The 12,665-nt window shown below is 39.5% G+C and overlaps 1 protein-coding gene across 3 annotated transcripts in view; it reads right to left on the reverse strand.

Moving 5' to 3' along the window:
• The window catches only part of GNPTAB (N-acetylglucosamine-1-phosphate transferase subunits alpha and beta), an 85,461-nt gene that overhangs the window by 2,600 nt on the left and 70,196 nt on the right, over positions 1-12,665 (reverse strand). For 2 of the 3 annotated variants that reach the window (NM_024312.5, XM_011538731.3), the window contains exons 16-20: positions 11,932-12,045; positions 9,474-9,559; positions 9,114-9,212; positions 5,274-5,441; positions 1,003-1,093 (exon numbers count right to left, since the gene is read on the reverse strand). In NM_024312.5, the coding sequence (NP_077288.2) occupies positions 1,003-1,093; positions 5,274-5,441; positions 9,114-9,212; positions 9,474-9,559; positions 11,932-12,045 (558 nt within the window). Of the gene's footprint in view, positions 1-1,002; positions 1,094-5,273; positions 5,442-8,116; positions 8,469-9,113; positions 9,213-9,473; positions 9,560-11,931; positions 12,046-12,665 lie in introns of those variants that run through there. The other variant, XM_006719593.4, reaches the window with a different exon arrangement.

Raw genomic sequence — 12,665 nt, forward strand, 5'->3', positions numbered from 1 at the left:
TTTTTCATAAGACTTTTACCTGCCAGGAACAATGGTAACAGACATCAAGAACAAGATGTACAATCCCTGGAAAGCAGATGAAGGTTAAGTTGCTGTCCTGTTCACCTGCCCAGTCTCTGTTTCCTGAATTTCCTTCCATTTACAGCAAGAAGCCCATTCATTTATCCTGAAGCTCTCAGTACTTAGGTGCTTGTCCTTCTTGGTATAAGTCAACTTGGTGTACGTTTCATTTGAGTGACAGCTAGAAAAGCTCCACTCAATAGTCACCTTGATTGGAGGCAGAGGCCAAGTCACTTGCCACACCCAAGTCAGGTTGGTAAAGATGCCCATTCCCCTCCTTCAATCCTTTTTCTTCAGAGTATTTGATATGTGAATAGCCTAATGAGGACTCTCTTATCCCTTTCTCTTTACCTCACAAATCTCCCTCCGACTTCTGGACACTCACCTCAAGGAGGCTGCGTGTGTACATGCATGCAGAGGAAAGCCCAGGTGTAGAGGGGCTGACAAGGAGAGGAGGAAGGAGGAGAGAGGAGGGAGAACTCCTAGCGATTGAAAGAAAGATAAATGGGAGCTACTGGTGTGAGTGGGACAACACAACGGAACCGTGGGATGTCTGAAGACACTGTGCTCACTCAAGGAAGCGTGAAAGAGAGGAAGAAAATTGGAGACCCATAGAAAATTAACATTAGATAAGGATTCTAGATGGTTTTTTGGTTATAAATACTTAGAGCTACTTGGTTTTAGCCTGATATCTACAAGTTAATCTGTTGAGTTCCAGATAAAAAGAATACTGGTAATGGATTTAGAAGAGAAATGAATAAAAGACTGTTATATTTGCTGCCTGAATATTGTGAAACATATTTAACATATTCACATATGAGCTATAAGACAATAAGAGAAGTTAAAATTTTGATTGTAAATGTGTATCATTTTCTAAAACATTCAGATGCTAGTATACCAAGAAATACCATTTAATACCCACATAAAATATATAAAACTTACCTGCTCAGCAAAAAATGAGAATATAGTAAACATAATCAATGTTGCTAGTACACAATGGGTCCAAAACTTCAATTTGTCTCGATAAGCCCTCCTGTGCAGAGAGAAGAAAGCAACTATGTACTTCTGTATATGGTTTCACTACCATTAGTTAAGCATTATTTATATACTAGTTCTATAAAAACAATGTTGGGAAACACAAAAACATTGTCTTGCAATTCTAAAATGCTCACACAATATACATTTCCAACACGAGTTCAGATTTTTTATTATGTCATAGTAAATATTATACTTGAATTAGTGAAGTTATCCAGGCAGGAGAGAGGACTTCAAAAGAAAATTACTTCTGGCACTTAAACAAAACCACTCTTTCATTCATTTTTATTCACTCATACTTATTTATTCACTCAGTTTCTTGATAAATACTTCCTGCGTATATGGAGAGATGAACAAGATGAAGTCCCTGCTTTTAAGTGTTTAGAAAACTGAGGCGTTGCTGACATGCTGACTGATGACTTGCCATCACATAAGACACAGAAATATGCATTATCAAAAGCAAAGTCATGTGAAAAACTTAGAGAAATGAGGACAGTGCCACAGAGATGGTGGCATTTCCTGTAAGCCTTGAAGGGGACAGGAAGCATATGGATGAGAAAGAGAAGGAGCAGTAGAGTGGCACGGTGGCCAGCTGGGCCCTACAGGACTGAGTGGAGTGAATCCATGCGGCAGCATGGGGGGAACTAAGCCAGGTGAAGGCGAGAGGGTATGAACTGCAGCTGCTTTGCAAAACCACACCGTGGGGTCTGGACAGAACACTCTAGTGGGAAAGTGGATGAAACAGACAGGTGGGGGTATGTGTGACATAATCAGGGTAAACATGTTGGCCATTTGAAGGATGGACAAACAAGGAAGGCAGGCAGTTTAGTTTTAGTCCAGGCATGAAAGGAAGCAGTGACAATGAAAAGAAATAAGCAACAGAAGAGACATTCCTGAGGTAGAATCAACTGGACCTGGAGCCAAGAGAATACTGAGGATAAAAAGAGGCAGTACAGCCATTTCCTCATCTGTAATTTGGAAATAATGAACAATTGGTTACGAAGATTAAATAAAAATGCTTACCATAGGTTTGGAAGATATGCTAGTAACTACCAAACTCTGGCCTCTGTGCTGAGTTACAGATTCTCATTTTCCACTGTTTGGGCGTCTCTACCTCAAGTCACACATCCAAAACGGCACTCGCCCACACACAGCTCTTCCCCCTGTATTTCCCACTTCTGTTAATAGGATCATAACCAGCTCTGTCAACTAATGTCTAGTGTCAGTGCAGTGAGAGACAATGCAGAACTAAGCAGGATGAGGAGCAAGCAACCTCCAGGGCAGGGGAATGACTGCAAGAGCACCCACACCTGATTCACACCATTTGTACAGCACAGAAATCAAGGTCCTCTCAAATTACTTTTAAGCCCACTTCTTTCTTATTCAAATGGACCCTTGAGGGTAAATTTAGTCACAAATTGAATTTGGGGAGTTAACACTTAGAACCACCTAAAGATCTTTTTCCTCTGAGTTAAGGGAAAGTGAAAACGGTGAGAAGCCATTCCTTGCCATTTCTGGGAGACAAGACCCATGATTCAGTAATAACTTCTCCTTATGAAAATAAAAACATAAAGATAGCAGCAATATTCATCCTAATTGTCTCATTTGCCCAACTCCAAGATACCGAGGAGTTCTAGTGCCAGGGTCTGCCAATTTCCCTTTTAAAGTGTCTCCCAGTTCGTCTATTGCTTTTTCTTTATTGCCTAGGCTGTATCCTTGGTTCACACCTGACTGACTGTTTCTAGGACTAGTGAAATGCTTATATACTTGTCTCCCTGCCTCCAGTTCCCAGGCAACCCTGCCCCACTCTAAGTAACTTCTTCACCACTCCAACCTCCCCACTAATACTAGTTATCATCTCAAATCATGAAGTCTGATCATGACAAACATCTAAAAAAAAAATCTCTCCTGGGGGTCCATTCTCAAAAGAAAAAAGTCTAATTCAAATACAGCCTTTCACAATCTTTTTTCTCGACACAGGACTCTCTTACACCTCTGTGCCTTTGCACATGCCATTTCTTCTACCAGGAATGCTCTTTCTTACATGGAAGTGTCATTTTCATAATTCAAAATCAAGTCCAAATGTCACCTTCCTGTAACAGAATCAGCTGGTCCTTCCTACGTACACCAGCTGCACTGAACTCTTATTGCCGCCCTCAATATACTGTATCACAATTTGCCTGGTATCTGTCTCCCTGGATAGACTGTGAGCATCTCAAGGCCTGGTACCACATGCCTTTCATCTTAGTATTCCTAGCACCTGGCACAGAGAGGCAAGCAAAGGGTCAAAAATCTTCCTAAACTGAAAGATAAAATTATCTTTATAATTAAATGTTGGCAATGGCAGTAGAATGAAAGATGAAGAAAACTTATAAAGCAGCTTTGGAATATAGTGGAATGTGCAGAGGACTGGGAGTCAGGCTGGATCAGCCACTTGCCAGCTACTTCAGCTGGAGCAAGTTACTCAACTCACATTACTATGTTCTCATCTGCAACATGGCAATAACAATACTTTTAATTGTAGAGAGTAAATATCTTGCCCAGTACAGTGTTTGGCGTACAACAGGTTCTCAAGAAAAAGGGTAGCTACTCTGACGGCAGTGATGATGATGAAGCACACTTAGTAGGTGTTGTAGGCCAGAATCTGGGGAATGGGCTGTCCAGGTTCATACGCGGGCTCCCCCATTCAGGAGCTGAGATGCCTTATGCAAGTTACTTCCTGTTGCTGTGCTGAGGATAAAATGGACCTACTACAGAGTTGTTAGAATAGTTAAATGAGAATGTGCATGAAAAGCTCTTAGTCAAGTACCATGTTACAGTTAAGTTAAAAAAAAAAAAAAGGCCTTAGTAAGGTATTGTTACTTAAACACGCAATATTGCTAGTGATTATTCCCACAGTAGATACTCAATAAATTAGCTGATTTAACAAATATAAGAATGAAAATTAGGGCCGGATACGGTGGCTCAGGCCTGTAATCCCAGTACTTTGGGAGCCTGAGGCGGGAGGATCGCTTGAGCCAAGGAGTTTGAGACCAGCCTGGCCAACCTGGCAAAACCCTGTCTCTACTAAAAATAACAAAAATTAGCTGGGCATGGTGGCATATGCCTGTAATTCCAGCTACTCGGGAGGCTGAGGCATGAGAATCGCTTGAACCCAGGAGGTGGAGGTTGCAGTGAGTAGACATCATGCCACTGCACTCCAGCCTGGGTGACAGAGCAAGACTGTCTCAAAACAAAACAAAACAAAACAAACTGCTTAACCTAATCCTTTACTCATTATAAAGTTTCCTGGTTGGTTATAAAGGCTAACCAGATAGTCTGGTTGTTGAAGTACTGAATGAAATGGCTCCTAATACCTTTCCAGGTTTACACTCCACTATTTCAGTATGAATTCTCCAACTAAGCTGGGCTAGCCCCCAAATTGCCCTGATCATTCCCACCTCCAAGCTTTTGCTCATTGTTCCCTTCTCACCACTTCTGAGATTCTGCCTTCAGGACTTAGTTTAATTCATTTTCCCCAAAGTCTTTCACTATCAGCTCAGCACATACCGACCTCATGTACCTCTCATTTTATACTAAACAATCCCTTCACTTACACATTGGTCAACAAACAGTTGAATAAATGAAGTTCCAACTAGACTGAAAGAACCCAGTTACACATTTTTTCAAATCCCTTAAAATGCAAATAAATGTCTTTCAAATATTAAACGCAATAAAAATTATAACTATACATTTTACAAAGAAATTAAAGAGCAAATAACACGTTAAAGAAATTTTGGCCGAGCATGGTGGCTCACACCTGTAATCCCAGCACTTTGGGAGGCTGAGGCGGGCGGATCACCTGAGGTCAGGAGTTCTAGACCAGCCTGGCTAACATGGTGAAACTCTGTTTCTACTAAAAATACAAAAAATTAGCTGGGCTTCGTGGCATATGCCTGTAATCCCAGCTACTCAGGAGGCTGAGGCAGAAGAATCATTGTACCCAGGAGGCGGAGGTTGCAGTGAGCTGAGGTTGCGCCATTGCACTCCAGCTTGGGCAACAAGAACAAAACTCCGTCTCAAAAAAAAAAAATAAAAAGAGAAATTTCATAAAAAAAACATTTCATCACTAACATATAGATACATATGCATGTATACACTCACCCACACACATGCATATATAAAACATGAGAATTTACCATTCCTGCAGCTCATGCATATGAAGGAAACGGTTTCGATACTCTCTTGGCAGTTCAAATTGGGAAGGTATGGGGAACATGGATTCATAGAAGTCCCTGAGAACAGCCTTCACTGTCTGAGCATCTTTATGATTGTGGTCAATGTTGTCATTCAGGCAAACAAACTTCCTGAAATAACAGAGAGCCAGGGTTATTAGTTACATATGGATAATCCTGACCTAACAAAACAAGGATGTGGATTCCAAATATATTTTAAATGGACTTATGTCCCAAGTTGGTATATTTGCTGATATGATTCTCTGGGGGAATGATATTCTATAAAATTTTTCTTTAGATATTCCTCACGTATAAAACAAGAGAACTAGGGTAGATGGCCTTTTAGCTATGGGAGTAAATTAATTTAATGACTTCCTTTTAGAGTGTCCTGAATTAATTGTTCAATAAATGTAGTTAACTGACTAGAATATTTTGTTGGCAGCTAGCAAAGACAATCAGTGGCCAGGCATGGCGGCTCACACCTGTAATCCCAGCACTTTGGGAGGCAGAGGTGGGCAGATCACCTGAGGTCAGGAGTTTGAGACCAGCTTGACCAACATGGCGAAACCTATCTCTACTACAAATATGAAAATTAGCCAGATGTGGTGGCACGTGCCTGTGGTCCCAGCTCTTCAGGAAGCTGAGGTAGGAGAATCGCTTGAACCTGGGAGGGAGAGGCTGCAGTGAGGAAAAAAAAGAAAGACAATCCGTAAGTACCTAAAACCAAGTTCTCTGAAGGCCATGCATGGTGGCTCATGCCTGTAATCCCAGCACTTTGGGAGATCAAGGTAGGCTGATTACTTGAGGTCAAAAATTTGAGACCAGCCTAGCCAACATGGTGAAACCCTGTCTTTACTAAAAATACAAAAAAATTAGCCGGGTGTGGTGGCATGCCTGTAATCCCAGCTACTCGAGAGGCTGAGGCACTAGAATTGCTGAACTCGGGAGGCAGAGGTTGCAGTCAGCAATCTTTAGATTGCACCACTGCACTCCAGCCTGGGTGATAAAGCGAGACTCTGTCTCAAAAAGATTAAAAAAAAAAAATCAAAACCAAGTTCTCTGAAATGATAGTTATATTACAAAGAAAAATCATGTAAATAATTGAGAGAGAGAGACAGTGCCTTATAGCTACAGATTATATGAATTTGATAATTTCTGCTTACTATGTCTCTAACCAAGCTGTAAGATGCTACAGTTCTGGCAAAAAAGCAGATTACAGTGGTGCTTCCTTGCTTGTTTCAAGTTCCTTTCAAGGCAAAGGTCACTAAACTAAGGGCCCATTAAAGTGGCTTGTAGGTAGGCCAATACTTTTGAAGTAGATTCGCCAAAATTAAAAAAAAAAAAAATCAAACAAACCTGATAAAGCCTTCAGATCCAACTACCAATTTATGGGAAATACAAGAGACATAGAAACTTGTTAACTAGGATTCAATCAGAGAGGGACAAAGTGTAAGATAGCTATAGAATCTATAATCAGATTTATTCATATACACATGCAAAAAATTATACGGTTAAAAAAAGAGAGATGGAGGGAAAACCCATAGATTTAACTTCAAACCAACAAACTTAAAAACCAAAAAAACACATAAGTCTTTATGAAAGTTAAGAGGAGTGAAAGGTGTACATTGACAAAGTAGTTGGTCATATTAAGGAATCATTATTGATTTTTTTAGGGTGATAATGGTATTGTGGTTATATTTTTAAGAATCTTTATATTTTGGAGATACATACAAAAAACGTGGAGCTAAAATGATACAATGTTTGAGATTCACTTAATATTAATCAGGTAGCAGTGGTGGAGTGGGTGTGTTTAGATGAAACAAGGTCAAATAGAAATGGAAGTAAATAAATATAAATCACTTGTCTTCCTTCTGAAGAAGGAAGTTTTAGTTGTAGCCTACACTTCTGAAGAAGACAAGTGAGGGGTATGTGAAAGCTCATTCATCTTTCTCTAAACCTGGAGACTGCTTTAAATTAAAGGATACTAAAGAGCTATGTCAACCTAATATATGAGCCTTGAGTGTATCTTGGATTAAAAACAAACAGAGGCAGAGAACAGCTATGAAGGGCATTTGGAGGCAACTGGGGAAATGCTGAAGACAGGCTATTAGATGGTATTATTTAACCAATGTTAAAGTTCTAGAATGTGTTAATGGTCTGTGGCCTGATGATGAAGCCATCACAAGCAGAGCTAAGAAATTCAGAGAAAAACAAAGCCTGGAGATTGTCTATCCCAGACTCCCTGTTAACGGGATAAACATGTCCTTAAAGCTGAAGTCAGTCTGAAGTCTAGTTTTCCATGCCTGACTTAAAATAAGCCTTCGTCGAAATAAAACAAAACAACATAAACAAGGGTTAATGATAAAATCTGTTCAGGTACACAAGAGGCAGCTGGGCCTGGCAAACTGTGGAAAAAGCCTGGCTTGCCATGTGTCTTTTTACTAAACCCCTGTCCCTTTAAGTACCATGAAAATGTCTATGAATACTCTAACCCAATAACTTTCAAATTGGCACAAAGACCTAAAAGTATAGGCTACAACTAAAAACTGCAAATTCTCACATTATTACTACACATGACGGAGAGAACTCATCAAGAAAATGGGGGAAGTCTGTACTCCCATCAAAATTGGTTCTTAAAAGCTAAAGTTATTTTAAGAAATTAAACAGTACACTTCAAGTGGAGGGAACAGCATATGCAAAGAGGGCTGTACGCTAGGTAATTATTATTGTAGCTTATGGTTTGCTTGGCTTGTGGGAAACATTTTGTAAAAAATCAAGTATTTTACTGGATTACTAAAGACACTAAATAGGTGTTAAAGGTATTTTTATTTTTTTTGAAAATTCCAATTTCTTTCTCCTCCAAACGAGAACAGGGTTTATAGAAAAAATATAATGGCTTTAAAATGTCTGTAAGGTTCACATCTTTGATTATTTATAATTAAAATCCTAATTTCAGTGAGGTAAAACTAAAGACCTCCAAATGCATTTAAAAGACCCAGAAATTAAAAATACTCCATTTTAGCTGGGTGCAGCAGCTCATGTCTGTGGTTCCACTAGTCAGGAGGCTGAGGTGGGAGGATTGCTTGAGCCCACGAGGTCGAGGCTACAGTGAGCCATGTTTGCATTACTGCATTCCAGCTTGGACAACAGAGTGAGATCCTGTCTCAAAAAAATATAGTTTATATGCCAGTGTCTTTATTTTCCAAAGAAGTTGATGAAACATCTACTTCCCACTAAAGTTAAAAACTCAAAAATGCATATTTTTAGCACATTTTATCAAACCTGCTAAAGTAACAGTTAAGGGGCTAGTAAAGAAATTGTTAAGACTTAGGTAAACCTGAAAATTTATTCATCCCCAAAGGATGGCTGGAGTATACTGGATTAAGGTTCACATTTACGGTAGCATTCCTTTTTCCTCAAAAGCTAATCTGAACTTTACTTTGAATTCCATCTAAACAACTGTTCTGGAAGTACCTTTTTAGAAATGCCATAATTCTAAAAAGGCATTTCTAGAATGTCCCAGCTGCCTGGCCTCACCTCCCCACAATGCGATCTGTCCCTGGGTCTCTCTGAACAGCTTGTTATTAATAGAACCCAGTTCTTCGAAGTTCAGGCTCATCCCTCTGCATGGGGGACCCTATCTCAACTTGCAACTCCTATCTCTCACTCAACCACCAGCTCCAACACTGCCTGCACTGTTAGGCCTTTTGGTCTGTTCCATACAGAAATAAGCTACTCCCTTCTTTCCAGTCCTTTTATTCAGGTTTATTTGCATAATTAAAAATTATATATAAAAATCAGTACCTAGGGTTTTTTCTTATGTCATCCAACTGGCCAACCACATGAGAAACGTTGGTACGAATCATTTTAAAAGCGATTTCTTCTTCTCCCATGATTTCAAACCTAATTATCAAAACATATTTGAAGAGTTTAAATAATTACATGGATATAAAAAATAAAACTTCAATAGAAAATACATTTTTTAAAACCGTAGTGGACTCAACATCCACAAAATAACTTAAACTTTTAATACTACTACAGCAAACAATCTCATATAAATTTTAGAACAGTGCTTAATAGACAAAATATTGTAGAATTATAAAAAAGCCAGACCTTTGTGATTACTCTTATACTAAACAAAGGGAGTATGCGTGTACTACTTACCTATATTTGTTTTTGTCCTTATATGCTTTGTGGATTTTGTCAGTTACTGGTTTACAGTTTGTTACTAGACTTTTAGTGACCGGTGGCTATGAGAAAATATAAGTAGATCAGATATCACATCAGAGCTGAAACTAGGGCAATTTAGTCCTAATCTTAGTTCTGATTTTTAACTTTGATTCTATGCTCTCTGGAGGTAAGAAAAACACCAACTGTGACTACATATACATCTTTTTCATCTTTAAGAACATACTGGCAAACAATTACTACCATTTATATAATAGAGTTTATAATGCATTTTTCACAAACCAAACCTGAAGTACTTTATCCTATTGGATCATGGCAAAAACCCCAAATAAACTGCTGAAGTACACAGACGAGCTGCTCTTCTGTTATCAGCCTGACTGCGTACCAGCTCTGTGTGAGGCGTCTGGTGAATTCCCGACCCACAAATAGTCTCATAGTCTCATTTTTTTTTTTTTTTTTTTGAGACGGAGTCTCACTCTATCGCCCAGGCTGGAGTGCAGTGGCGCGATCTCAGCTTACTGCAACTTCCACCTCTCGGGTTCAAGTGATTCTCCTGTCTCAGTTTCCCGAGTAGCTGGGATTACAGGAACCCGCCACCACACCCAACTCATTTTTGTATTTTTAGTAGATACAGGGTTTCACCATGTTAGCTAGGCTGGTCTCGAACTCCTGACCTCAAGTGATCCGCCCGCCTTGGCCTCCCAAAGTGCTGGGATTAAAGGCATGAGCCATCGCACCCGGCCAATTTTTGTATTTTTTAGTATAGAAGGGGTTTCACCATGTTGGCCAGGCTGGTCTTGAATTCCTGACCTCAGGTGATCCGCCCACCTTGGCCTCCCAAAGTGTTGAGACTATAGGCACGTGCCACCGTGCCCAGCCCTAGTCTCATTCTTGACCTGCTGATTCCTATCTGCTAATCCCACTAGAGCAAGTTCCTTTAAGGCTGATACCAGGTCTTACTCCTCTATTTATCTCAACTTTATTAATTTGGTAATGTTAAGTCTTAGCACATTTAGAGAATTGGCTTTTAAGTGGCACATATCCATATACTAACCCATGCCATATGCTAAACTAATCTACACGTGATAGGCAACACTCATACTATGTGCTCTGATGGCTGCTATGCTGACCTCTTTCACCAATGGCTGCCACTTGTCACACTGTGTCTCCTCATGAGGGAGGAGGTGTCCTATCTGCAGTCATTATTTATACATGGCTTGAAGATTTGCAAGATCGTAATTTTTTAAAAATACCACTTCATTCTGATTATGAAAGCAAAATCTACTCATTGTAGAAAATATGAAAAACTCTAGTGTACAAAAAGGATATTAAAAACTACCTGTGATTTAACCTACTGTCATTTCTGTTGTCTTTTGGGGTATGTGTGTTGTATATGTACTTGGAGGATTTTTATAGTTCAACTCATACTGTCTATATGGTAGTACCCATTATTTTCTCCACCTAATTTTATTATATAAGAATTTTTCGCTGGGTGCAGTGGCTCACGCCTGTAATCCCGGCACTTTGGGATGCTAAGGCAGGCGTATCACAAGGTCAGGAGATTGAGACCATCCTGGCTAACACGGTGAAACCCCGTCTCTACTAAAAATACAAAAAATTAGCCGGGCGTGGTGGCGGGCGCCTGTAGTCCCAGCTACTCAGGAGGCTGAGGCAGGAGAATGGCGTGAACCCGGAAGGCGGAGCTTGCAGTGAGCCAAGATAGCGCCACTGCACTCCGGCCTGGGTGAAAGAGCGAGACTCCGTCTCAAAAAAAAAAAAAAAAAAAAGATTACTTTGTGAAAAAGAGCCCTGAAAATAAAGCTTAAAAAAAAAAAAAAAGAATTTTTCCATTTATCAGTAAAAAATTAACAGAAAATAGCAGATTAATGGCTGTATTATATTCATTTCATCAATTCTATGATTTTCTTCACATTATAACCTCTCTGAAACTAAAATGTCTCTTATAATCTATACTCTTTCAATTATTTCAGCCAAATGACATTCCAATGCAGTCGTGTGTTAATCACCCACTGCCCCTACTGGTAAAATGGAGTAAGTGCCAGCATTAAAGCAATTCAGCTTTGATGAACGATGATATTCCATGTGATGAATATTTCCTTGATGGTTAAACCTCAGGATTGTTCTCTCTGGCCAATGAGAATACTCTGGGGCTATTTTCTGTCACCCTTAGTAAACAGGACATCCGCTTATGGAATATAAGCAACAAATCCAAATTACGCATCTATGGGGTGAACAGTAAGATTCCAAAGCAAGCTATGAATGATTCGGATTACCTGTGCTACTGTTTTGCAACAAAGACATATAAAACCATAGAGCCTGCTGCTAGTTCTGAAGTGCTATACAGAAATGCTGTAAGTAACACTTGATAAGGATGTACTTTCTGTTGTACATAAAAGTAACCCATTCCACTTACCAGGTTGGGATCATAGTAGGATTCCTGAGTTGGTGGAATATTATTTAGCTGCGTGATATCAGCAGGAAGCATTTTTGAGCAATTTATTAGCATGTGTTCCAGACCTGTCAAATCCTAACAAAGAAAAAGATGATAAATCTGTTATGCGCATTGTAAGTAATGACTGTGGTTTTAAAAATAAAAATTAAGTGAAAGCTTCCAAAAATGGTTTAAATGCTATCTTCAAAGAGAGTCTGACTATATGATTCTTAAGATAAAGGCACTCTAAGAAGAGCAGAATGAGACAATGCCAACAAAAATATTTCATCTTCATCTCAAAGAACATTCTGGCCTCTGAGATACCCATTTACACAAGGTGGTCCAGGGCTCAGGAGAAATCATGCCCTGCAGCTAGATTCATCTGGGCACCTCCATTAGTGAGTTTCCTACTCCTGGGACTAGAGGATGCCATGAAGGAGGGGCTAGCTGAGATCTCCAGCTAGCCACACCTGAAGTCCTAGAATGAATATACCACAAGAATCTCATATGCAGGTATGGTCTGGCTCTTTTCCAGACAATACAAGATCAATCCCTACTGAAAACCTGCAAAAAGTAATTTCATAAAATACAAACCCCAAATTTGGTTATAATTCTAGCACTAAAACAGACTAGCTATGAATACCCACAGTAAATATTAAGAATTATTTTTACTTGCAATAAATTAAAATACGTAGGGGAAAAAGAGACATGGTCAG

This window comes from Homo sapiens, chromosome 12, assembly GCF_000001405.40.
Source record: "Homo sapiens chromosome 12, GRCh38.p14 Primary Assembly".
NCBI lineage: Eukaryota > Metazoa > Chordata > Mammalia > Primates > Hominidae > Homo > Homo sapiens.